The 27,491-nt window shown below is 37.5% G+C and overlaps 1 protein-coding gene and 1 long non-coding RNA gene across 30 annotated transcripts in view, besides 2 other annotated features; one reads left to right on the top strand and one right to left on the bottom strand.

Annotated features, from left to right (window-relative positions):
• L3MBTL4 (L3MBTL histone methyl-lysine binding protein 4) overlaps positions 1 to 27,491 on the top strand; it is a 460,543-nt gene that overhangs the window by 46,376 nt on the left and 386,676 nt on the right. For 4 of the 29 annotated variants that reach the window (NR_158611.2, XM_047437920.1, XM_047437918.1 and 1 more), the window contains exon 1: positions 9,854 to 12,200. The exons of 23 other annotated variants lie outside the window; for them this stretch is intronic. The gene's annotated coding sequence lies outside the window, so the exon portion shown is untranslated. Of the gene's footprint in view, positions 1 to 1,200; positions 1,271 to 9,853; positions 12,201 to 27,491 lie in introns of those variants that run through there. 2 more of the 29 variants (NM_001365770.2, XM_011525758.2) reach the window with 1 other exon arrangement.
• Positions 5,005 to 5,064: a silencer, noted in NCBI's record as "silent region_9266". NCBI's record gives its function as "represses an Ori minimal core promoter by ATAC-STARR-seq in GM12878 lymphoblastoid cells {active_cell/tissue: GM12878}" and the evidence as "EXISTENCE:reporter gene assay evidence [ECO:0000049][PMID:35858748]".
• LOC124904240 (uncharacterized) lies at positions 10,628 to 12,364 on the bottom strand. Its single transcript, XR_007066272.1, has 2 exons — positions 12,276 to 12,364; positions 10,628 to 10,952 (listed from the first exon to the last, which is right to left on the bottom strand). It is a non-coding gene; the product is annotated as an uncharacterized LOC124904240 (long non-coding RNA).
• Positions 12,838 to 13,037: an enhancer, noted in NCBI's record as "active region_13060". NCBI's record gives its function as "activates an Ori minimal core promoter by ATAC-STARR-seq in GM12878 lymphoblastoid cells {active_cell/tissue: GM12878}" and the evidence as "EXISTENCE:reporter gene assay evidence [ECO:0000049][PMID:35858748]".

Below are 27,491 nucleotides of genomic sequence, written 5' to 3'. Positions count from 1 at the left end.
TTTCAGTAGAGACGGGGTTTCACCATGTTGGCCAGGCTGGTCTCAAACTCCTGACCTCAAGTGATCTGCCCGCCTCGGCCTCCCAAAGTGCTGGGATTACAGGCGTGAGCCACCACACCCAGCCTCCAGACGTTGACTTTTATTAATATTAATAATTGGACAGCACTGTTTGCCAGTTGCTTAAAGTGAATTAATCTTGTTGCCATAATTGTGTCGTAGGCTCCTAAAGTCAAGGGACCACTTGGTATACTACTTTCCTGTGACTTTTTGGAAGTCTCTTAAACTTTCTGTGGCTCCATTTTCTCATCTGCAAAATGAAGATAATAATACCTATACCTCAGGGTTGTCTTGAAGTTCCACGAGTTAATGCATGGAAAGTGCTTAGCAGGGACCTTGGCAGACAGTAAGCACACACTCAGCAGCTGTCTACCTGCTGTGACTACTGTTTATCACCCAGGGTCCCTAGCAAAGTAGATAATCCAATGGGTAGTCAAGTTAGTTCACTTTTACTTCTTTAGGGAAGTGAGTGGAATGGGAGCATGTGGGCTGCAGCCTCAACAAAGATCTTCTGGTGTTTTCTCTCCCTTGCTCGCACCCCAAGTATTTTTATGCTGTTGACATCAGTTAAAAGTAAGCACCGACGGCCGCCTCACTGTGAGTCATGGAGAAGCAGCACAGAGCAGGTCTTGGTGGATGCCGGTGACTGGAGAGAGTGTAGAGGGTGAAGGGAAGATGGCGCTACCATTGCCTGTGCTGAGGGGAGGCCTGAGGTCTTTATGCATTTGTGTGTTTACTCTCTTGTGGCTTTCTTGTGAGCTCCAGGGAAATCATGCTGGCTTGGTATCCCTCAGCAACTCAGAGCTGAGGTGTGTTCAGCCACATCTTCCTTCCAAGCATGTTCCTCCCAGGACTTGGTTTTGAATTCATGTTTCACGAGCTTTGTGACTGTAACTTATAGAACTTTCATTTCTTTATAAAATGGGAATGATTCTACTATCTCCTTGGGGTTGAAGTGAGGGCTAAAAGAGGTAATGCCGAATCCGTATCTTGTAAGTAAAGCTCATGGCGTCTGTTAAAAGGCAAATCACCATCCTTTGTGACCATTAGTGCTGTTTATGATGTGCCTTCCTAGTGGTCATGGGAAATCTGGAAGTGGGTGGCATTCTGACCTCAGCCTTGGCCTCACAGTGCTTTATCTGAGTGCTCTGACTTTAGGTCGGGTGGCTTCTGGGGCCTTCTGAGGAACATGCACAAGCTGCTACAGCTACTGGTAAAGGGGTGTGAAAAGATTGTCAGGGATTGCCCTGACCCCAGCTTTTGAGAGCAGGTGCAGCGTGTTTTTCTCATTCAGTGGGCAAGGCCAGGTGAAAGAGCTCTGTGTGAAGACATTCTCTGTGGGCCAGGGTGGAGAGCACCCTGAGGAGGCAGCACTGATGTGGTTAATCCATTGGCCTCCTAGACTTGGTGGGAAGCCTGTTCTCAGCGGGAGGCCACTCATTTTCTAGGAAGGACACACTGGCTAAGTAGCTTAGGCCTTCGGCAAGAGTTTATTTTAAAGTGAGGTAATGGCAATGGTAACAGGAGTGTCTGTGAGGCTGTCTTCTTGGCCTTCACAGTGATGGTTTCTAGGTAAGTTTTGAAAATAGCACATTTCTGTGTTTTACTGCAGATTGAAGGGTTTTCTAGGCACATATGTAAGGAATAAGATTCCTGCCCACTCAGAAAAGATGGCATGGCATATGCAATCAGAGGGACCCGACAGAAAGGTAGGCTCCAGGGTTAGACTGTCGGGCTTGGGATCCTCTTAGCTCCTGCTGGGGGAGCCCCCCTCCTGGCCTTGCCTTCTGGCACCTGCTGTGGGCTTTCCTAGGGACTTGTGTTTTGTGCCCTGCTTGGGTTCGGTGAGTCAGGTCACTGCCAGGCACTGCTGCTGCTCCTCTTTCTAATGCAGAGATCTGCTCCACAGTCTCTTTGGCTAGAGTAAAAGGAGATCTTCCTGTAGGTATACAATACATTCACGAATTTCCTTTTAAAGCACTCATTTACATCCTTGAATGTTTTGGAAAAAGGCAGGCAAATGATGAGAGAAAGTCTGGCATTTTGATGGCTTCCCAGGCTCCTTGGCATTAAACAAACATCTGCACTTAGCTGAGTTTTCCTGTCACAACATAGTCCATTCAACTAGATTCTGGCTGGGAATAGTCTTTTTGGGAATGTGTGAAATTAGACACCTATTTAAAGTTGTATCCACAGCTTTGCTTTACAATACTAATAGAGATATGTAGAATTCATGAATATCAATTCCTTGTATAGATATTCACAGATCTCTAGTCCCTATATTATGAACTTATTTCCTTCATTTTGAAAGAACTACTCCTAGATAATATCATTATTTAAAAACACGAACTTTTCTGTCTTAAGAATTCAGTGATACTGTGAACACTTTCAGATGTTGGAAGATGGCCTTAAAATAGACATTGATGCTATTATGTTATCTTTCTCTAGACATAGTAGCCACAATTTGTTCTCTGACATGAGCGTTTGTCTGTATTTTCTGTATGGCTACAGTTTTAGGAGCTCAGCATGTTGCAATGTTGTTTAAAGAAGAATGTGCTGATCATCTGTGGACAGACATTTTCAAGTTAATACTGTGTCAGGGAATACATATTAAATTACTTGTCTGTTCTATATGGAGGAATTATTAAATTTAGTTATTAAGTTTATAAATTTTAGACATAATTTTTAAGTTTATGCACTTAGAGAAGGAAAAGACTATAGAATTAAATAAAAGGTTGGAAGTTTCTTTCCTTAATCTAGCCCAGGCATGTATATAATTGAGGTTACAGAAGTATGCCACGGCCACCTTCCCATCTGTGCTCCTAACAGAGTGCACCCTGTTTGCTGTGCCCTTGTGAGGTGCATTTGGCTAAGGCTGTGTGATTTTTTTTCAAAGCTTGTGCATACATTGACAGTGTCTGTCCTCTTTATTTAATATAAGAGTGTAATATTGCTTAAGTGAATTCAGCTTAGGTAATTATTATTTAACAAGAGTGACTTAGGGCAAACTCTAATGTCCCTTGAAGAACTAGTGATAATTTGAAAATCATTTTGCTTGCAAACAATACAGTGTTTCAAGTAACTTTTCAAAAGCTGGCATTTTTGCAGAAGATGGAAGGGACTGTGGAGCCAATTTGTATTAGAGATAGTAGCCTGGATTTTGTTCTTTCTTTGACTTTACAAGCTCTTCTTGCTCTGTGGGTATTGTTTTTCTTATCTGGAATGTGGGATCTGATGATTTAAACCACACTATTGTTGCTGCCTTATCTTCCTATAAGAAACCTGAACCATTTTCTTCTTTAGATGGCTAAAATGTCTGTTTTCAAATAGGACATGGCCAGTAGAATAAATCTTCCATTTATTTCTTCTGAGGATAAAGCAGACAGAATAAGTTAGAGCATTATCATGTGCAATTATGGTTAACCTACTTTTATTTCTTCTTGAGTTCATAAAGTATGTCTTTATGTCACAAAGCTGGGAGGAAAATAACAGCTCCTTAGACATTCCATTGAACAGTGACTTTATTATCTTTTCCTCTCTGTTTCTCTTCCTCTCTTTTTTTGCCTGTGTAAAACATAATGTTTATACATTTTGTAACCTTTCTAAAGCTTTTTGTGTGGAGGGAAGCATGTTTATTCCATAAAACATATTCATAGGTGCTTGATATCAAGATATGATAATCTCAGCATTTAATAAATATTTTAGTGATAATTTTGATTGCATTGATTATACATATAAATATTCAAGCTTAAGTTTAAAAAGATACAGAAATATATGTAGTAACAACAGCATGAATAAACATTTTATTTAATTTGAAAGCTTACATTACACTTTTGATTTTTTTTGCTATAATATATATTTTAAAAATAAACAATTGTCCTCATTCTTGGTTACTAGTCTTTTTTCTATTGGTATGGAAGTTAATAGTATCCATTTTTTGTGTAGCTGCTTTTGAAATCTGCCTTAAATTTTGTTTATAAATATAACCTAAATTGCCTAGATGTTAAAGACTTTACTGACATCTGAGATTACAGTTATGAAAGTATTAGGCATCGTGTAGAAAGTATATATGATAGATACAAGTTTAGAGTGTTATAATTAATCCTAATGAGTTTTAAAGATGCCACAAAATATATCATTTTGATTACGCTTATGTGTAAATTTGTGTTATGTATAAATTTATGATGAAATCTAATTTCATCAGTTTTAAAGTTTAGCAGTTTATTTAATGATGAAAAAATGTGTAAAAAGAAATGTTACCAGTGACTCTTTTACTTCGGAGGTAACAATAAAGCTTTTAGGTTTGAATTGTGGACTCTCTGTTCTCTATAGAAATAAAGGACTAATTTGTATATTTTAAGACTGGAGTTCTTAACTTTTTGGTCTCAGGATCCTGTTATATTTTTAAAAACTACTAAGGACCCAAAGGTGCTTTTAGTATTATGCATGTCTTATATATCAATATTTATGGCATTATAAATTATAATGGAAAAAATTAAGAATATTTATTAGTTTATTTAAAAATAACAATATAATCATTACTTAACATAAATAATATTTTAATGAAAATAGTTATATTCTCTGAAACAAAAATATTTAGTGACTAGAGCGGCGTTGTTTCACATTTTTGCAAGTTTTTAATGTCTGGCTTAATAGAAGGCAGCCAAATTCTTATATGTGTTTCTGCATTGCAGTCTGTTGCAATGTGTTGTGTTGGTTGAAGTATAAGAAGAAAATCCAGGCACGCGTAGATACAAGGACCAAAAAGAGAGGATGTCGAGGACCCCTTAAAAATATCATAGAGACCCCCAGGAGCCCTTGGACCACAGTTTGAGAATCAGTTTTAAGACAATGGGTAGAGGTTTAGTGATAGCCTCTTTTTTTTTTCCCAGCTGTTAGATGTCGAGGGAGCATGGTAATAATGAGAAGTCATCTGAACTTGGAGTAAGGCTTGCTGCTGTTAGTGGTTATGTGAATTAAGCATGTAATAACTTTGAAGCTCGGTGTCTGTTTTTGCAGTGTGATTCGGAGCAGCATAGTGGTTAAGTGGGCATGGGAGCTCCTGGGTTCAAAGCTGGGCTCCTTCACTGAGTGGCTTAAGTTGGGGCAAGTTTCTTAATCTCTGTAAACTTCAATTCGTTCCTCTCTAATATGGGAATAGAAAGAGTCGTTTCTTCTTGGAATTACTGTGAGGCTTAAGGGGTTAACTCATATGAAGTATTTGAAAGTTTGGCAAGGAGTAAGCCCTCAGCAAGTTAGCTGTTAGTATTTTTGTTACATCTGGGTTTCCAAAAGTAGCTTAATGGGTATGGTAGGTAGTAAAACCATTTTCTTTATCTTTGTCACTTCTGACATCACGCTTTCAGTTTGCTTTTTAATACACGTACTTGAGTGGACTTTCCCTGTCAACTCTCATAACATTGCAGTTTGGAGGTGGTGGGAAGTGGTTGAAAAGACACGGGGCTTCCTGGAGGGGGACTAGGGCACCCGGGGGGCCTGGGAGTCGGGTGTGGGCGTGTAGTGAGCCATCAGGGGCTGCCCCTGGACGGTTCATACCTGGGTTTTCCATGAAGGGGTTTGTTAGAAGAAATGCTTCCAAAGTTAAACCAAGTGTGAAATCCACTTACTGCCACAATTTACGAACTCAGGAAACGGAGACTTGACCGTTTTTTGGCGATTTTTCTCTCCTTCTTTTTCCCACTAGGAATAGAAGAATGTCTGTGTCTAGCATTTAACTTCATCCCCGATATATGTCCTAGACTATTATCTCTGTCAGAGTTCATAGAAAACAGCCCCTCCATTTTTCACAGGAGCTATGGGAAAAGTGTTTTAGAATGGAGACCTTTCCTCTGCGGTTCACGGTAGATGAGTGCTTTCCGCGGGCATCAGAGTATGGCGACTGAAAGGCAGTGCGCATGCGCCCACACTTCCTTCTCCAGCCTTCTCTCCGAAAAACCCAGTACAGCCTGGGATTTGGGATTTAACATTTCTAATAAAAACTTGCATTTGTTTTTCCTGTATCTTTTATTGCTTTCTCTTCCCACTACTTTCCAATACCCTGTACAGAAAGTGCTGAGTAAATATTGGTTCATGAGTTGTTACTAAGATGTTGTAAGTTACCAGGGAGGGAAAGTGTTTTATTGGAAAAAGTGCACATTTTAAAGTCAGAGATACTTGGGTGCAGATACTGGCAGTATCATTTCTTGGTGTTGTGATTTGTGGCAAGATACTTAATTTCTCTGAGCCTCATTTAAAAAATACTTATAATGAGACTTCACAGGGATGTGGTAGAATACCAGATTACATAAATGAAGGTAGCCATCCTCCACTAGACCCAGGTGGCTGGGGAAGGAGCAGTTTTCCAGCAGAGAGGGGCTCTGTTAGCAGAAGGAGAGAGGGCTGCTGAGCAGACAAAAGTATAAAGATGGTCTACGTGAGCTCTCCTAGTGCTGGTCTCTTCATGTCCTTTTCTTTTCTTTTCTCTTCTTTTCTTCTTTCTTTTCTTTTCTTTCTTTCCTCCCTCTTCCTCTTTCTTTCTCTTCTTTCTTTTTCTTCTTTTCCTTTCCTTTCCTTTCCCTTTCCTTTCCTTTCAGTCCCCTCCCCTCCCCTCCCTCCCTCCTTCCCTCCCTCCCTTCCTTCCTTCCTTCCTTTCTTCTTTCCTTCCTTCTCTTCCCCCCCTCCCCTCCCCTCTCCTCTCCTCTTTTCTTTTCTTCTTTTTTTGATAGTGTCTTGCCCTGTCACCGAGGCTGGAGTACAGTGGTGTGATCATGGCTCACTGCAACCTTGAAATCTTGGGCTCAAGGGATCCACCCACCTCAGCCTCTCAAGTAGCTGGGACTACAGGTGTCTACCACCATGCCTGCCTAATTTTTAGTAGGGATGGGGGTCTCACTATGTTTCTCAGGCTGGTCTCAAACTCTTGGAGTCAAGCGGTCACCCTGCGTCTGCCTCCCAAAGTGCTGGGACTGCAACCACGCCCAGCCACAACTTGTTTCTACTACTTAGGTCCCTCAGTTGCTCAGAGCAGAGGCCCACTAGAGAAAGCCTAAGGAAAGAGACGACGTACATGGAATTCTTTGGAGGTCATCTGTGGAACCCCTGCATAGGACTGCAGCCAGCTGAAGAAGCAGAACCTGGCATTGGCACACTGTCCAGGACTGTCTCTTTAAAGATCGCCTTCATTTTCCTTTCCCACTGCAGTCTGGTTTCCTCCATTTCCACATGAGGAAAATAGGTTCTGCCAACAATTTCCAGCCTGTGTGTTACAATCTAGCCTCTCAGAGAAGGATTAATCTGATCTACCTTAGTTCCTATTACAGATTCCTTGGTACGGAATCTGATTTGTCCAGCTTGAGTCTGGAGGCCACCCCTGGATCTGTGGGCTGTTGCTGGGGCTATGATCATGTGGGTACAGGGCAACTTCCCATGCAAAAATTTGCACGGTTGGGGCAGACGGCGGTGGGGAGACACAGCAGTTCCTAAGAAAGAGATGTTGGCAAGAGAGCCTGGTAGACTGTCATTACTATTTATACTGGAAAGAGGACTGAATTTAGTGTGAGAAGATCTGTGTTTGAGTCTTGGCTCTGCTCTTTTGAGCTACCGTGGTCCTGAGCATTTCTCTTAATGGGGGTGGGACTCTCAGTGTCCTGCTGGGTATCACATGCTTCACCCATTGTAGGCCACAGTTAAAACATCAATAAGGCCTGTTACTATTGCTGCTGCTGCTGTTTCTGTGACTACTGGTGTTGTTATAATCATCATTATTACTTACTTTGCCTACCCAGTATCTTTTTTTTTTTTTTTTTTAATCAGGTAGAGTCTTATTCTCTTGCCTAGGCTGGAGGGCAGTGGCACAATCACAGCTCACTGCAGCCTTGGACTAGACTCCTTGGCTCAAGCAATCCTACCTCCTAAGTCTCCCAGGTAGCTGAGACTACAAAAGTATGCTACCATGCCCAGCTAATTTTTTAAATTTAAATTTAAATTTAAATTTCTTTTTTGTAGAGATGAGGTCTTGGTATGTTACTCAGGCTGGTCTTGAACTCCTGGCCTCAAGCAGTTCATTTGCCTTGTCCTCTCAAAGTGTTGGGTTTACAGGCGTGAGCTAGCACTGCACTGCACTCTGCCCCAGTATCATTCTTGAGAGCATCAAATCAGATAATGTATGGGAAAGCAGTTTAACCCCATACACATGCACATTGGGGATTATGATTTGATCACCATCTCGTGGTCTAATGTCATTCTCTTCATTCTTCCTGCTCAACCTTTGATCTCTCAGTTTATCTCTGTGTAACATTAAAGTGATAAATCTCCTTTCTGAGTTAATTAGCTTTTGTAAAGTTTTTGGATGTTTGATATATAAGATCCTAGAAAAGTGAAAACCTCTAGAATAGTGGATAGAAGAGTGACTGATTTAATTTCCTGTCTCATCTGGCTTTATTTAAAATTTTTGTTTTGAGACAGGGTCTTACTCTTTCACCTAGGCTGGAGTGCAGTGACACAGTCATAGCTCACTGCAGCCTAGAACTCCTGAGCTTAAGGGATCCCCCCGTGTCAGTCTCCTGAGTAGCTGGGACTACAGTGCACACCTCCACACCCCGCTAAATTTTGTATTTTTTTGTAGTGATGGGGGTCTCACTATGTAGCCCAGGCTGGTCTTGAACTCCTGACCTCAAACTACCTTCCCACCTTGGCCTCTGAAAATGTTGGGATTATAGGCATGAGCCACTGCTCCTAGCCTCAACTGGCTTTAACATTCTCCTTATAGAGTTCTGTTTCTCTATAAGTACTGTATTCATGAAACAGAGAATTACCTTTTACTTGCCAGCTTGTTGTTAGTATGTCATGTGGTGCTTCTGAATTATTAACTCATACTTAAGTAATTATGAAAGCAAGAAGGGAGGAAAAAAGGGAAGACCATGACTTTCCAATTCATACAACCCTTTAACCCACTGTGTCTGCTGCCTTCTGCTTGCCCCCCACACTAGGAGGAATATGAAGGGTGAGATGCAGAGAATGTACAGTCTCTTTCATTGAAAACATAAGTCTGTAAAGCACTCACAGGTCTCCTTTGCGTAAGGATCTGCTTTGGTCACCTAGTACTTCAACAGAGTGCTAGAATCTCAGTCTGTCCAACTCTCTGGGAATTTTTGAGAGTTTAAAATAGATTTGGTGTAAGATTTTCCCTAGAAATCCCTAGAACAAACAACTTATTTAGAATGCTTTAGAATTTTTTTTTTAGATATGTCATAGTTTCACCCTCTTCTAAGAGTTATCTGTGCTGAAATGAAAAAAAAAGTGTTTAGAGAAAACTTATTTTAGCCATTTTCTCAAGATTATACTAAGTAATTGTTTGAGGTCATGTTTATTTATTTATTTTTTTGAGCTGGAGTCTCACTGTGTTGCCCAGGCTGGAATGCAGTGGCATGATCTCAGCTCACTGCAACCTCTGCCTCCCGGATTCAAGCCATTCTCCTGCCTCAGCCTCCCAAATAGCTGGGATTACAGGCATGTGCCACCATGCCTGGCTAGCAGAGACAGGGTTTCACCATGTTGCCCAGGCTGGTCTTGAACTCCTGACCTCAGTTGATCTGTCTACTTTGGCTTCCCAAAGTGCTGAGATTACAGGCATGAGCCGCCGTGCCCAGCTGTGTTTGAGGTTATGATGTATTATTAAATGTTGGCCTGAGAATTAAGTAAGTTACTCAATTTTATACCTTTAAATAGTTTCAGAATGTCTTAAATGACTGATTAAGCTTGTGTTGCAGGTCTGGGCTATGAAAGTAACTGGCACAAAATGAAAACACTAGATTTGAATCAGTAAATACGATATGAAAAGACCCAAAAATGTGATTCTTTGCAAGACATTTTCATAAACTGAAATCATACCTGGGCTATCCACTGGAATATGGAACAATGCAGAAATAGACATGGCAAGTTCTCCACTTGGTCCCCATCTGCACAGGGCTCTCCTGTGGAGCCCTCAGGCCAGTGCTTCTGCTCATTCCTCTTGCCATTGGTTACCTTGCTTCAGGGAACTGGCCTCTCACTGCTTTCCACGTGCAAAAGGGGCAGTCTCCTGTGTGTTTGAAGAGCCAAGTTTCCTGAGGGTAGACATTGTAAACTTAGATGACACAGACTTTCTGAAACTTGTGCTGGTTAGATCCTAGGAGGTCTTGGATTTGGTTTGAGGAGCACAGGAAGGTGGGCTGGGGAACTGGAGTAGCTTGACCAGGTGTCACTTTCTTATCCGTAAGCCTTAGACTTTTGCTACAGCTGTCTTTCTTTTTGGGTGACTTCCTTTAATGCTCTGTTCTAAAACTGCAGGGTTTTGGAGGGAACTGCTTTGAAGTGGAGCAACATTGATCATGTGATACCTTTTTGGAGGGGACTTTTGACTAGGTAGTGGGCCAAGGTGCAGGAAGCCCTGGAGTGTGTGAGCTCAGCCCAGGGCTGTATCCCTGAGCCTGTGGTCAGCTAGCTGCGTGACCTTGTCTCATTTCTTTGGCCTTCAGTTTTTCTTTCTGTAAAATAAGAAGGTTGGATTAATTTGCGTCCATCTTCCAAAAAAGCTTTTTCATCACAAGTTTATTTAATCGGCACTCTTAGTAAAGTGTAAGTTAGACCCGGAAAAGGTCTTAAAGGTCATTTTCTAGGATAGTCTCATCCACTGATTTTACAAATGAGGTTGTTAACTCCCAGCATAGTGAAGCACTTGCTTTAAGGCTGCATAATTTATGGAAAGTTGATTTTCTCCACCTTGATGGGGGAAGGGTAGGCCAGGCTGCGGATGAGACAGACACTTTTCGTGATGTGTGCTCCGCTTTGTCTTCATCTGTCCAAGGCTTGGTCAAAGGCATTTTCTAGTGGTGATGGTTTTGTGTCTTCCCAAGGAACTGAAAGAAAACAATGAGATAATGAGATTACGTTCTGAACTTTGAAGCACTAAATGAAGTCAGCCTGGAGATAAAGCTTTTAATGATGCATGCAGGAGTAATTTCATTGTGATAGCTGTATCACAATTTATGCTTTTTACATAATCCACAAGGCTTAGGCAACTGACTTATCCATGAAGTGACCAGAAAATCCTGCCATTCTCTGTCGTATATGCATATGGTTTGAATTTTCTCAAATGATATTGTTTTTTTTCAAAAGTCTTGATGGTGACAATTAGGCCCCAGTCATGGAGGGGAATTTTCACAGTTGCTTATGTGTATGTAGTGTCTTGATGAGAGTGATTTAAAACCTGGCAGTCAGCATTTGGAGGACTTGTGCATTCCTGTTAAGAACAAGAGGAATCTCTTTTTCTCTCAAACATTTACTACATAGAATTAGAATAGATCATTGGTAGGGGATGATGGGGGTGGCTGGTTTTATAGAAAAGATACCAAAATTAAACGAGCTGCAGAATGGAAAGAAGGTACTAGTTATTTCACTGTTCAGGACTTTTTTGTTTGGTGCTTTTACATATTACTAAATTTTTTCTTCTGAAGTTCCACCCAATAAATACTTAGGAATTTCACAGAATGTCTCAAGATTTGATGAGAAAGTCAACAAGAAAATATATAGTAGTGTCAAAGACTCCAGCCTGTTGTCACCATTTCTTTTCAAGATAAATGGAGTTTCTTAATTACAATTTTGGGGGATAGACTTAAGCAGACTGAAACAAGGTTTCAGGTGGGAGCTAACTTGATAAGATATCAACGCTTTGGATGAGATACAGCAAAAGTCAGATAAAGTCACGTGGTGCACAATGACGTTTTCATCAGTGACGGACTGCATATATGACACCCATATGCATATATGATCACGTAAGATTATAACAGAGCTGAAAGATTCCTGTCACCCAGTGACAGTGGGCAGCTGTGGCAGTGTTGTAGCCCATTGCATTACTCATGTGTTTGTGGTGATGCTGGTGTAAACAAACCTACTTTATACTTCATAAAGTAAAAACTTATAGTAAGCTAAGACCAACTTATCATTGAAGAAAGAAAAACTGTTTTTAATAAATTTGGCATAGCTTAAGTATACAGTGTTCATAAAGTCTACAGCAGTGTACGGCAACGTCCCAGCCTTCCCATTCACTCACCGCTCATTCACTGATCCACCCAGAGCAACTCCCAGTACTGCAAGCTCCATTCATGGTAAGTGACCTCCATTTTTTATCTTTTATACCGTATTTTTTATTGTACTTTTTCTATATTTAGAGAAATACTTACCATTGCATTACAATTGCCTGCAGTATTCAGTACGGGTTTGTAGACTAGGAGCCATAGGCCATTCCATATAGCCTGAGTGTAGTAGGCTCTACCCAGTAGGTTTGTGTAATTGCACTATGATGTTTATGCTAATAACGCATTTCTTAGAACAAATCCTGTTGTTAAGTGACACATGACTGTATGTTTATGTTGATCCAGGCAATCAGGAAAAGAAAATCCATCTGTGAGCAGGATGAGCACATGATATTTAAGCTGTGGGACAAATAGAGTTTGGCAGAATGCCGTAACTCTGTTATGTTGATTGCCATCTCCTCTTCGAGGTTTGGCCTGTGGGTTCTCCATGAGTGGGAGCGGTGTCCTCTCTCTCTCTCCAAGGCATTCTTTGGAGTGTAAATGTCATCTTGCACCAGGTACTGGGATGCTGACTCTGTGCAAACACAGAGAATACTACAGAATTATTTTGGATTTTAAAAGGTACAGACACAGAAAGCCCAGGTGACTCATAGGACTTGTATTAGTCACTAGAAAGAGAGCTGACGGCATCATTGCTGTCTGAAGTTCAGGCCTCTTTTTTGAGGGCTGTGATTGAGCTGTGGAGGAGCTCTAGAGGTCTCAAGCCTGCTACTATGGTGGCCGTTGATTGTGGTGTCATAGAAATGGAGGTGACCAACCCTGCTGGGGATGAATCATGCACACGCTGGTGAATCACTTATCGTGCACATGGTACTAGCTTCAGAGGTCACTGCTTTGTTTGTTTTTTTTTTTTATAAATTTGAATGAGAAAAGTAATTCAAATGAGGATAAAATGAGGGTGCTAAAGTTTATCTTTACCTAGCACACTGTTTACTCGTAAATCATGTAAGTTAATGGGTTTTTAATATTGCAGGAGGTTGACTTACATACAGTTGATAGATTTTAAGTCATTGAGATGAACTTATTGAAGCTAGCCATATGTATTTAAATGTAATCAAATGATAATTATTTAGAACAATTCCATTTTCCAGGCCTTTGTATTCAGATAGTTGTTTCTGGCTGGTAGATTGTTCACATTGATAAGCATCTTGACAAGTCATCTATTTTGCTCAAGTTCTGAAGTGCTTTGTAGACAAAATGGATGAAGATTACTACTGTTATCCAGTTCTTTGACTTTCAGGTTTTTCTTTTCCAAAGAAAAAAAAAAATCAACAAATATGCTTGCCTTATCATAGTATTATTGAAAACATTACAGGTGAATAAAGAGTTAATTTATTAGAAATCTTAAAAATTTTTTTATTTTAATTTTTGTGGGTACATAGTCGATGTATATATTTATGGGAGACATGAGATGTTTTGATACAGGCATGCAATGCATAATAATCACATCATGTGGAAAGGAGTATCTGTGCTCTCAAGCATTTATCCTTTGCGTTACACACAATCCATATTGTTATTTAAAAAACATAAAAAAGCATAGTGACTTCCAGTTCTATCCATGTTGTTGGAAATGACAGGATCTCATTTTTATTATGGCTGAATAGTACTCCACTGTGTATAAGTACCACATTTACTTTATCTGTTCATCTCCTGATGGACACTTAGGTTGCTTCCAAATTTTGGCTATTGTGAACAGTGCTACAACAAACATGGGAGTGCAAAAATCTCTTTGATATGCTCATTTCCTTTCTTTTGGGTATATACCCAGCAGAAGGACTGCTGGATTATATGGTAACTCTATTTTTAATTTTTTTTGTGGGACCTCCAAACTGTTCTCCATAGTGGTTGTACTAATTTACATTCCTGCCAACAGTATACGAGGGTTCCCTTTTCTCCACATCCTCACCAGTGTTTGTTATTGCTCATCTTTTGGATAAAAGCCATTTTAACTTAGATGAGATGATATCTCATTCTAGTTTTGATTTACATTTCTCTGATGATCAGTGGTGTTGACTTCCTTTTCATATGCCCATTTGCCATTTGTATGTCTTCTTTTGAGAAATGTCTATTTAAATCTTTTATGCATTTTTAAATTGGATTATTAGATTTTTTCTTATTGAGTTGCTTGAGCTCCTTATTTATTCTGGTTATTAGTTCCTTGTCAGCTGGGAAGTTTGCAAATATTCTCTCCCATTCTGTGGGTTGTCTCTTCACTTTGTTGTTTGTTTCCTTTGCTCTGTAGAAGCTTTTTAACTTGATGTGATCCCATTTGTCCATTTTGCTTTGGTTGCCTGTGCTTGTGGGATATTAGTCAAGACATTTTTGCCCAGACCAATGTAGAGAGTTTCGCTGATGTTTTCTCATAGTAGTTTCATAGTTTTAGGCCTTAGATTTAAATCTTTAATTTGTTTTCATGTGATTTTTGTATGTGGTGACAGATAGGGGTCTAGTTTCATTCTTCTGCATATGGATATCCACTTTTCCCAACACCATTTATTGAAGAGACTGTCTTTTCCCCAGTGTGTGTTCTTGGGACCTTTGTTGAAAACAAGTTCACTGTAGGTATGTGGATTTGTTTCTGGGTTCTGTATTCTACTCCATTGGTCTATGTGTCTTTTTCAGAGCCAGTCCCTTGCTATTTTGGTTACTGTAGCTCTGTAGTATAATTTGCAGTCAGGTAACATGATTCCTTCAGGTTTGTTCTTTTTGTTTAGGTTGTCTTTGTCTATTCTGGGTCTTTTGTGCTTCCATATAAATTTTAGGATTCTTTTTTCTATTTCTGTGAATAATGTCAGTGGTATTTTTGAAAGAGATTGCATTGCATCTGTAGATTGCTTTGGGTAGTATGGACATTTTAACAATATTGATTTTTCCAGTAAAAAAATGGAATATCTTTCCATTTTTTGGTATCCTCTTCAATTTCTTTCATCAGTGTTTTATAATTTTCATTATAGAGATCTTTCACTTCTTTGGTTAATTCCTAGGTATTTAATTTTATTTCTACCTATTGTAAAAGGGATTTTAAAAAAATTCTCTTTCAGATTGTTCACTGTTGGCATATAGAAATGCTACTGATTTTTGTAGGTTGATTTAGTATCCTGCAACTTTACTCAATTTATCATTTCTAATAGATTTTTTTGTGGAGTCTTTAGGTTTTTCCAAATATAAGATCATATCTCCAAACAAAGATAGTAAAAATCTTTTAAGAAACTTGCTGAGTGTGTTCCTGACAGAATTCATTTTAAAAACATATCACTGATATTTTTATTTAATTACATCTGCTTAACCAGTGTCCACAGAATTCTTGCCTTATCATGCATAAATTCAAAATTCTGTAGTAAGGATGCTTATTGAAATTGATGAGTAGAATATTATATAAGTGATGAGCAGCAAATAAGCATTTTTTTTTTTTTTTGCTTTCATCATGGTCTCTTGAAAGTTTTGGTTTTAGAGCTACCTCATGAACTGTATGAACTGTGAGTTGCGTTGATTTGTATCATACTGTGAGTGTGTCAATGGCAGAAAGCCATTATATTTTCCACCATAGTTTTTCAAGTGTGTATTTAATAGAGACAAAATATGTGGAAAGCTTATGAAACAGAATGTGCCTTTTTAAAGAAACACTGCACTAGGTTGCATTTACTTGTGGTAAGTTATAATTTACATATGTTTAGTTTAATTTATTGAAAAACTATAATTTTGTTCATTTAGTTTATTTTAAAAGGTTACGGGAGGTATTTGTCTTTTAAAATAAGAATTTATATAAACTGTATGATATTTATTCTTTCAAATGGTTTGAAGAACAATTTAGGATAAAAATAGAAGGAAAATATTTTTGACCATTTAAAGTTCCTGAAAAATGTCTCTTTTCAGTTTCTTCCACTTTTGAGGCTACCAACTAGATTTCCTTTTTTTTTCTTTAAGGTTCTCAGCACATAGGAAAGACAGCTAAGAAATAGATAAATTGTATGGTCATGATATAGCATCCCTTTGCATTTTCCTGGCAGAAACAAGGTCACTGTCTGTATCCTACCTTCAGGGTAGTGTGGTTGCAAGATTTTCTGGCCTCTGCCTTGGAGAAGGCAGGACTCATAATGTGGGGAATGATCTAGATGTTAAGTACCTGGCAGTGACAAATAGTCACAATAAAGTTCATAGTAATCTCATCAACCACTTTTTATTTTTCCTCTAGATCAGAAGATAGAGCATGTGATATGGAAGTTTTCTTAGCTACCATGAGAATATTTACCATCTCCTTTTATCATAATAGGCTCTCAATAAATTTTGAATGACTAAAGGTAAATATTTATAATTTATTGAGAGCCTTCTGTGGAATGGACTGTTCTAAGTGAATGCATTAATTTATAGATCTAAACTCAGCCAAAAGATTCAGCTCATAAAGATGAGGAGATTGGGTTTGTAGAAGAGGAGGTAATTACTTTGAGGTGAAATGATCATGATGTGTTGGGATCTTTGGTTGTGTCTTTTAAGTGGCTAGGTGCTCCAGATTTTAAAAGATTTGGCAGAGAATGCTGAGAGTGACCACATTTTGAGTAATTACTAGCAGTGAGAAGGGAGAGAAGCAAAAAAATTTAAACCCACCTGTCTTTCCTTCTTGGCAGGGGGAAATTCACTTATAGTAGCAGCTATTAGTATAATACCCAGAAAATAATATAAGCACAATAAACTTTTTATAAAGAAATCAACTTTTGACTTGAGTGGTGGCTCATGCCTGTCATCCCAGCACTTTGTGGGGCTGAGGCAGGAGGATTGCTTGAGGCCAGGAGTTTGAGACCAGCATGGGCAACATATTGAGACCCTGTCTCTTAAAAAAATCAACATTTAGGCTGGGCGCGGTTGCTCACGCCTGTAATCCCAGCACTTTGGGAGGCTGAGGCGGGCGGATCACGAGGTCAGGAGATTGAGACCATCCTGGCTAACATGGTGAAACCCCGTCTCTACTAAAAATACAAAAAATTAGCCGGGGGTGGTGGCAGGCGCCTGTGGTCCCAGCTACTCGGGAGGCTGAGGCAGGAGAATGGCGTGAACCCGGGAGGCGGAGCTTGCAGTGAGCCGAGATCACGCCACTGCACTCCAGCCTGGGCGACAGAGCGAGACTCCATCTCAAAAAAAAAAATAAAAAATCCACATTTAAAAATTGCGGTATAATATACATAATACAAAATTTACTTAACCATTTTCAGTGATCACTCAGTGGCATTAAGCACATTCACATTGTTGTGCAGCCACCACTACCATCCACCTCCAGAACTTTTTTGTCATCCCAAACTGCAATTCTGTATTCAGTAAACAATCAATCCCCATTGCCTTCTCCCCCAGACCCTGGTAGCTACCATTCTACTTTCCGTCTTTATGAATTTGACAATTCTAGGTACCTCATATAAGTGGAATAATACAATATTTGTTCTTTAGTATCTGGCTTATTTTGCTTAGCATAATGTTTTCAAGATTCATTTATGTTGTAGTATGCGCTTTTTTCGAGATGGAGTCTCGCTGCATCTCCCAGGCTGGAGTGCAGTGGCGTGATTTTGGCTCACTGCAACCTCCGCCTCCCTCGTTCAAGTGATTCTTCTGCCTCAGCCTCTTGAGTAGCTGGGATTACAGGTGCGTGCCACCACACTTGGCTAATTTTTAAAAATATTTTTAGGAGAGATGGGGTTTCACCATGTTGGCTAGGCTGGTCTTGAACTCCTGACCTCAGGTGATCTGTCCGCTTTAGCCTCCCAAAGTGCTGGGATTTCAGGCATGAGCCACTGTGCCTGGCCTAGAATTTCATTTTTTAAGGCTGAATAATATTCCATTGTATGTTTATACTACATTTTCTTTATCGATTCATCCATAATGGACATGTAGGTTGTTTCTACTCTTTGGCTATTGTGAATAATGTTGCCATTTACATTGGTGCACTAATTTCTGTTTGGGTCCCTGCTTTCACTTCTTTTCAGTTTATACCTAGAAGTGAAATTGCTATGTCATATGGTAACTCTATGCTTTATTATTTTAGGAACCACCATACCGTTTTCTATAGTGGCTGTACCATTTTACATTCCCACTTGCAATGCACAGGGTATTCACTTCTCCACATCTTTATCAACACTTTTTGTTTTCCGTTTTTTTTTTTCTTTTTTATATTAGCCATCCTATGTGTAAAGTGGTATCTCATTGTGGTTTTGATTTGTATTTTTTCATGATTATTGGCTATTAGAATATCCTCTTTGGAGAAATGTCTGTTCAAGTTCTTTGCCCATTTTTCAACTGAGTCATTTGTATTTTGTTGTTGAGATTATGAGTTCTTTATATATTCTGGATATTAATCCCTTATGAGATACATGATTTGCAAATATTTTCTCCCATTCGGTGGATTGCCTTCCACTCTCTTGGTATTGTTCTCTTATGCACAAACGTTTTCAGCTTTGATGGAGTCAAATTTATTTACTTATTCTTTGGTTGCTTGCGTTTTTGACATCATTGTTGTTGCCAAATCCAATGCCGTGAGGGTTTTCACTTATGTTTTCTTCTAGGAGTTTTATAGTTTCAGCTATTATGTTTAGGTCTTTTGTTCATTTTAAACTAATTTTTGTATATGGTGTAAGGTAAAGGACCAGCTCCATTATTTTGCATGTGAATATCCAGTTTTCTCAATGCCATTTGTGGACTCAAACTTAAGTAAGCTTTTTATTAAACTATGACATACACAAATGTATGTATAATGTAAGAATACAGTGTAGTGGATTTTATTTATTTTTTTTATGAAGTGAACACATCTGGAAAACCAGCATTCAGATCAAGAAACATTACATTAGTAGGACCCTAGAAGCCTTCTCCCTTCTTGCTCCTTCCAGTGACTGCTCCCAAAGCCCCTCCCACCACAGGTGATTACTCTCCCTCAGTTGGATTTGCATATTCTTGAGCTTATATCAGTCAAATCAGTGTGTATTCTTTTTTTTTCTTTTTTGAAACAGGGTCTCATTCTGTCACCCAGGTTGGAGTACAGTGGTGCAATCACAACTCACTGCAGCCTCAATCCCCTGAGCTCAAGTGATTCTCCTGCCTCAGCCTCCCAAGTAGCTAGGTGCATGCCACCACACCTAGCTAATTTATTCACTGTTTTAGGGGAGACAGGTTCTCAATGTGTTGCTCGGGCTGGTCTCGATCTGGCCTCAAGCGATCCTCCCACCTCGGCCTCCCGAAGTGCTTTGATTATAGACATGAGTCACCGCACCAAGCCAGTGTGTATTCTTTCGTGTTTGGCTTCTTTTGTTTAGCATAATGTCTCTAAGATTCAGTGGCACTATTCTATATAGCAGTAGTTTAAAAATTTTTTCTGTAGTATTTTATTGTATGAATACACCACACATTACTTATTCATTCTACTATAAATGGATGTTTTGATTATTTCCAGTTTGGAATATTAAGAATGATGCTGCTGTGGACATTATTATATATGTCTTTTGGTGAATACATTTGTTGAGTTAACAGCTAGGAGTAGAATTGTTAGGTCATAGGATATGTTTATGTTCAGTTGTAATAGTTACTTCCAAATGGTTTTCTGAAGTGGTTGTTCTAATTTACATGACAACTGCACTGTAGTAGTTAACGAGAGTTTTAATTGCTTCTTCTGTCTAGCACTTGGTGTTGTTCATTTTAACCATTTTGGTGGCTGTGTAATGGTGTAACTTTGTAGTTTTAATTAGAATTTTCCTGTTGAAAACTGAAGTTAAGCATCTTTTCAAATGTTTACTGGCCACTTGCATGCTTTCTTTTGTCAAGTTCCCATTCAAAGCTTTTGCCCATTTCTCTACGGGTTATTTGCTATCATCGTCAATTTGTAGGATTTCTTGATATTTTCTGGATGAGTGTCCATGTGACCAATGTGTTGCAGATACATTTTCCTACTTTTTGGATTGCCTTTTCACTTTCTTAATGGAGCCTCTTAATGAACAGATGGTCATAATTTTAATGTACTCTGGTGTATATACTTTTTTATTTTTTGGTTGGTACCTTTTTGTATATTATTCAAGTAATTGTTACCTAAGGCCATGAAGATATTTGCCAGTTTTGTTTTTTTCTCTAAGCTTTGTTGCTGTACTTTTTAACATTTAGATCTACAATGCATCTGGACTTCCTTTTGGTGTATGGGTTATATTGGCCCCAGTACTATTCATTCAAGATCATCTTTTTCAATCACATTCCCTATTGTATTTCCTTATTTAAAATTATGTATCTGTTTCTGAACTTTCTAATCTGTTTCATTGGTGCCTGTTTATCTTTCTGTTGGGGTCATGCTGTTGTAATTATTAGAACTTTGTAATATCATGCTATCTGGTAGTGCAAGCCATCTAGATTTGTTCTTCTTCTTCTCATATTTGTATTTCCATATAACTGTTAGGATCAATCTAACCAATTTCTTTAAAAATCCCTCTATACTTATTAGGATTTTTAGCAGGTCAGTTTGGGCATAATTGTCACCTTTACTGTACTGAATCTTCTAATCCATATATATGGTATTTTTTTCATTTACTTTGGTGTTTAAAATTTTTTCTTAATAATGTTCTATATAGTTTTCAGTTTAAAGTTCTCATTCATCTTTTGTTAGATTTAGTATTAGGTCTTTAATAGGAATCAATGCTATTGTAAATGGCATTTTCAAATTTTATTTTTTGTTGCTGATATATGGAAACAAGATTGACTCTTTGTATGGATCTTGTATTTATTAATTTTGGTAAATTCTCTTATTTCTGGTAGTTAGTCAATTTAATTTTTTTGTGTTCAGATCCTGTTGTCTGGAAGTGTTTAGAATTTTCTTTTTTTTCCCCTTCCAATCCTTATGATTGTTTTTCTATTTTTCTTGCATCATTACACTAGTTAGGACATCTAGTGTAATATTAATAGAAGTGATGATAGCGGGCATCCACATAATTTCCAACTCAGAAGAAAAGCTGTCAATAATTCACCATCATGTATGATGTTTGCTGCAGATCTATGATAGATACTCTTTATCAGAATTAGGTGGTTCTTGTCTATTTCTGTTTCATAACAGTTTTTTTTTTAAAAAGTTATGAATTGGTGTTAATTTATGTCAGTTGGTTTTTTGTATCTGTTGAAGTCATATATTTTCCTCCCATGTTTTAATTAATTAATTAATTTTAGAATATTGAGGTATGATTGACATATAAAAAGATATATATATATTATATCTTGATGAGTTTGGAGAATATATACAACTATGAAAACATTATCACTATAAAGGCCATAAACATAGCCATCACCTCCCTAAATTTTCTCTTACTCTCTTTTTAAATTATTATTATGTTTTTCTTCTTTTTTGGGGGTAAGAACACTTAACATAAGATCTACCCTCTTAACAGACTTTAACCATACAATACAGTATTGTTAGTTATAGTAGCTAATGCTACTATACTGTATGGTAGGTTTTCAGGACTAATTTATCCTACATAACTAAAACTTTGTACCCTTTATCCATCACCTCCCAATTTCCCCCTTTCCTCAGCTCCCGGCACCATCATTTCACCCTCTGTTTCTGCAAATTTAAGTATTTTGGATCTCACATATAAAGAGATCATACAGGATTTATCATCTGTTTGGCTTATTCCACTTTATGTAATGCCCTCTGGATCCATCCATGTTGTTGCAAATGGCAGGATTTCCTTCTTTTTAAAGGCTGAGTAATGCTGCATTGTATATGTGTACCACATTTTCTTTATCGCTTCAACTGTCAGTAGAAATTTAGGTTGTTTCCACATCTTGGCTATTGTGAATATTGCTGCAGTGAATATGGGAGTACAAATATTTCTTTGGATACTGATTTTAGTTCCTTTAAATATATGCCCAGATGTGGGATTGCTGGATCATATGGTAGTCATATTTTTAGTATTTTGAGGAGTAGCCATGCTGCTTTTCATACATTCCCACCAATTGTATACAAGGGTTCCCTTTTCTCCACATATTTGCCAATATTTATTATTTTTTCTAAATTATGTAGTAGCCATCCTGACAGTGTGAAGTGATATCTCATTGTGGTTTTTATTTGTATTTCCTTGATGATTAGTAATGCTGAGCACCTTTTTCTATACTTGTTGGATATTTGTATATCTTCTTTGGATAAATGTCTGTTCAAGACCTTTGCCCAATTTAATATCAGGTTTTTAAATTTTTTTTGTAGTTGAATTATATGAGTTGCTTATATATTTTGTATATTAGCCCCTTATCAAATGTATGGTTTGCCAATATTTTCTCCCATTTCATAGGTCATCGCTTGATTTTGGTGATTGATTTCCTTTGCCGTGTAGAAGTTTTTTGGTTTGAGGTAATCCCACTTATTTATTTTTGCTTTCATTGCCTGTGCTTTCAGTGTCAAATCCAAAAAAATCATTGTCAAGACCAATGTGAAGACACTTTTCCCTTACATTTTCTTCTACCAGTTTTACAGTTTCAGGTCTTATATTTAAGTCTTCAATCTATTTTGAATTGATTTTTATGTATTGTGTAAAATAAGATCTTCATTTTGCATATATACATCCATATATATATATATATATATATATATATATTCCAACATCATTTCTTGAAGAGACTGTCCTTTCTCCATTGTGTATTCTCACTGCCGTTGTCAAAAAATTAGTTGACTGTATATGCATAGGTTTATTTCTTGGCGCTCCATTCTGTTCCGTTGGTCTATATATCTGTTTTTATGCTACTACCATACTTTATGATTATTATAGATTTGCAATGTAATTTGAAATAGGAATTGTGATGCCTCTAGTTTTGTTCTTCTTGCTCAATATCTCTTTGGCTATTAGTGGTCTTTTGTGGTTCCATATTAATTTTAGGATAGTTTTTCCTATTTCTGTGAAAAATGCCATTGGAATTTTGATAAGGAATGCATTGAATATGTAGATCAGTTTGAGTAGTGTGAATATTTTAACAGTATTAATTTTTACAATCTGTGAAAAGGGAGTATGTTTCTCTGTATTTGTGTCTACTTTAATATCTTTCATCAGTGTTTTACAGCTTTCAGTGTAGATTTTTCACCCTCTTGGTTAAATTTATACCTCATAATTTTATTCTTTTTGATGTTATTGTTAAGGGGATTGTTTTTAAATTCTATTGGATAGTTTGTTGTCAGTGTATAGCAACAACTCATTTTTGTATGTTGGTTTCATATTCTGCAAATTTACCGAATTTTTAAAATTAGTTCAAACAGTTTTTGGTGGAATCTTTATGGTTTTTTTTGTTTGTTTGTTTGTTTGTTTGTTTTTGAGACGGAGTCTTACTCTGTTGCCAGGCTGGAGTGCAGTGGCACCATCTCGGCTCACTGCAACCTCCGCCTCACGGGTTAAAGCAATTCTCCTGCCTCAGCTTCCCATATAGCTGGGACTACAGGCGCATGCTGCCATGCCCGGCTCTTTTTTTTTTTCTTTTTTTTTTTTTTTTTTTTTGTATTTTAGTAGAGATGGGGTTTCACCATCGGTGCCCAGGCTGGTCTCAAACTACTGAGCTCAGGCAATCCACCCACCTAGGCCTCCCAAAGTGCTAGGATTACATGCATGAGCTACCGTGCCTGGCCTATGGTTTTCTATATATAAGACATGTGACTTGCAAAGACAGACAATTTTACTTCTTTCTTTCTGACTTGGATGCCTTTTTTTGTTTTTCTTTTGCCTAAGTGCTCTGACTAGGACTTCTAGTACCATGTCGAGAGTGGGCATCTTTATTTTGTTCCTAACTTTTCACCATTATAAATGATGTTACCTGTGGGCTTGTCATATATGGCCTTTATTGTTTTGAGGTCCATTCCCTCTATACCTAATTTGTTGAGAGTTTTTTTTTAATCATGAAAAATGCTTTTTCTGCATTTATTGAAATGATCACGATTTTTATCCTTCATTCTGTTAATGTAGCATATGACATTTATTGATTTTGATATGTTGAACCATCCTTGCATACCAGGGATAAGTCCCACTTGATGAGAGTGTATAATTCTCTTAATGTGCTGTTAAATTTGCCAGTATTTTGTTGAGTATTTTTGTATGTGTTCATCAGGGATATTACCTTGTAATTTTAGTATATTGGAATGACCTTGTCTGTCTTTGCTATCAGGGTAATGCTGGCTTCATGAGATGAATTTGAAAGTGTTGTCTCTACTCTTCAATTTTTTGGAAGGGTTTGAGAAGGATTGGTGTTAGTTCTTCTTAAAATGTTTGTAGAATTTACCAACGAAGTGACCAGATACTGGGCTTTCTTTATTGGGAAGTTTTAAATTACTGATTTAATATTACTTGTTCTTTGTTCAGATTCTCTATTTCTTTATGTTCAGTTTGGGTAGATTGTATATTTCTAGGAACTTATCCATTTCTTCTAGGTCATCCAATATGTTGGCAAATAATTGTTCATAGTAGTGTTATGATCGCTTAAATTTGTATTTCTGTGCTATCTGTTGTAATGTCTCTTATTTCATTTATGATTTTATTTATTGGAATCATCTCTTTTTTTCATTGTTAGTATGGCTAAAGGTTTGTCAAGTTGATCGTCTCACATAATCAATTCTTAGTTTTATTTGTCTTTTTAATTGTTTTTCTAGTGTCTATTTTATTTATTTTTGTTCTAATCTTTATTCCTTCCTTCTGCCGTTTGGGCCTATTTTTTTTTTTTTTTTTCCTCTAGCTCCTTGAAGTATAAAGCTGGACTGTTTATTTGACATCATTCTTATTTTGTAATGGAGGCATTTATTGCTGTAAACTTTTAGCACTGCTTTTGCTGCCTCCCATAAGTTTTAATATGTTGTATGTTTCCATATTTGTTTGTCTCAAGATATTTTTGATTTCCCTTTTGGTTTCTTATTTGACCAATTGGTTATTCAGGAGCATGTTGCTTAAGTTACACATATTTGTGAATTTTCCAATTTTCCTCTTGTTATTGATTTTTAGTTTCATACCATTGTGGCTGAAAAAGTTACTTGACATGATTTACAACTTCTTTTTTTTTTTTTTTTTGATATGGTGTCTCGCTCTGTTGCCAAGGCTGGAGTGCAGTGGTGCGATCTTGACTCGCTGCAAGCTCTGCCTCTTGGGTTCACGCCATTCTCCTGCCTCAGCCTCCCAAATAGCTGGGACTACAGGTGCCCACCATGCCCGGCTAATTTTTTTTGTATTTTTAGTAGAGACGGGGTTTCACCATGTTAGTCAGGATGGTCTCAATCTCCTGATCTTGTGATCTGCCCGCCTCGGCCTCCCAGAGTGCTGGGATTACAGGCATGAGCCACCGCACCCAGCCGATTTACAACTTCTTAAATTTGTTAAGACTTGTCTTGTGTCCTAACATATTATCTACCCTGGAGAATGTTATGTGTATGCTTGAAAAGAATGTGTATTCTGCTGCTATTGGATGGAATGTTCTCTATATATCTGTTAGGTCCATTTGGTTTATAGTGTTGCTGAATTTCGTTGTTCCCTTATTGATTTTCTGTCTGGAGGAAGTAGGGGTTGTTGAAAGTGAGGTATCAAAGTTCCCTATTACTATTGCATTGCTGTCTATTTCTCCCTTCAGTCCCTTCAGTTCTGTTAATATTTGCTTTATATGTTTATTTGCTCTTATGTTGGGTGCATATATAATTGTTATATCCTCTTGATGCATGGACCCCTTTATCAATATGTAACAACATTTGTTTTCTTCTGTGACAATTTTTTACTTAAAGTGAAGTTTTTTTTCTGATATAAGTATAGCTACTCCTGCTCTCCTTCGGTTACTATTTGCATGGAATATTTTTTTTTCTGTCCTTTTACTTTCAGCCTAAGTGTGTTCTTAAAGCTAATGTCAGTCTCTTAGAAACAGCTCATAGTTGGATCTTTTTTTAAAAAAAATTCAGTTGCTCTTTGTTTTTGGATTAGAGAATTTATATTGAAATTTAAAATAATTATTGATAGGCAAGGACTTACTAAAAATATTTCAGTAATTGTTTTTTTCACTGTTTTGTAGTTTATTTATTTGTTCCTTTCTTCCTCTGTTGCCATTTCCTTTCATTGATGATTTTTTTTGTGGTAGTATGTTTTGATTCCTCTATCTTTCTCTTTTAAATACCTAACACATCGGCTTTCTTTGTGGTTACCATAAGGCTCACATAAAACACTTACAGTTACAGCAGTCTATTTTAAGCTGATAACAACTTTAGTTCAATTGCATTAAAAAACTCAATACATTTACTTCACCCCACAAAATTTTATGTTTTTGGTGTCACAATTTACAACTTTTTTCCTTTTTTAATATAATAAATCTATCTTTACTGCATTCGGATATTTTACAACTTTTTATATTGCATATCCATTAACAAATTTTGTAGCTATAGTTATTTTTAATACTTTTGCCTTTTAACTTTTATAGTAGAGTAAAAGTGATTTATTCACCTTCATTATAGTATTAAAGTATTCTGAATTTGATTATGTGCTTACCTTTACCAGTGAGGTTTATACTTTCATATGTTTTCACATTGCTAATTAGTGTCCTTTTGTTTAAACTTTGAAGAACTCTTTTAGCATATCTTGTAAGGCAAATCTAGTGATGATGAACTCCCACAGCTTTTGTTTTTCTAGGAAAGAGTTTCTGTCTCTATTTCTTAAGGACACCTTTTGTTGTATTTTTAGTTGGCTGCTTTTTTCTTTCAGCACTTTGAATATATCATCCCACTCTCTCTTGAACTGCAAGGTTTCTGCTGATAAATTCATTCACAGTCTTATGGTGTTTCCCTTATATGTGATGAGTTGTTTTTCTCTTACTACTTTCAAACTTCTTTTTTTTTCATTTTTGACAATTTGATTATAATGTATCTTGGTGGAGACATTTTTATATTCTACCATTTGAGGTTCTTTGGACTTCCTGGATCTTAATGTTCATTTCCCTCCAAGATTTGGGAAGTTTTCTGTCTTAATTTTTAAAATAACTTTGCTTTCTCTTTGTCCCTCTTCTCTTTCTCTGCTGCTTCTAGGACTCCTATAATTTCTATGTTTGTTCACATGATGCTGTTCTATAAGTCCTGTAGACTTTCTTTATTCTTTTTCATTCTTGTTTTATTTTTATTCCTCTGACTACTTTTAAATAACCTGTCTTTGAGTTCACTGATTCTTTCTTCTGCTTGATTGAGTCTGCCATTGAAGCTCTCAGTTGAATTTTTGAGTTCAGGTGTTGTATTCTTCATTTCCAGAATTTATGTTTGGTTCTTTTTAAAGGTGTGTATCTTTTTGTTGAAATTCTAACTTCACATATGCATTG

The sequence above is a fragment of the Homo sapiens genome, chromosome 18, assembly GCF_000001405.40.
Source record: "Homo sapiens chromosome 18, GRCh38.p14 Primary Assembly".
Taxonomy (NCBI): Eukaryota; Metazoa; Chordata; class Mammalia; order Primates; family Hominidae; genus Homo; species Homo sapiens.
Note: the sequence above shows the minus strand (reverse complement) of the source record. Positions and strands in the feature narration are given on the sequence as shown.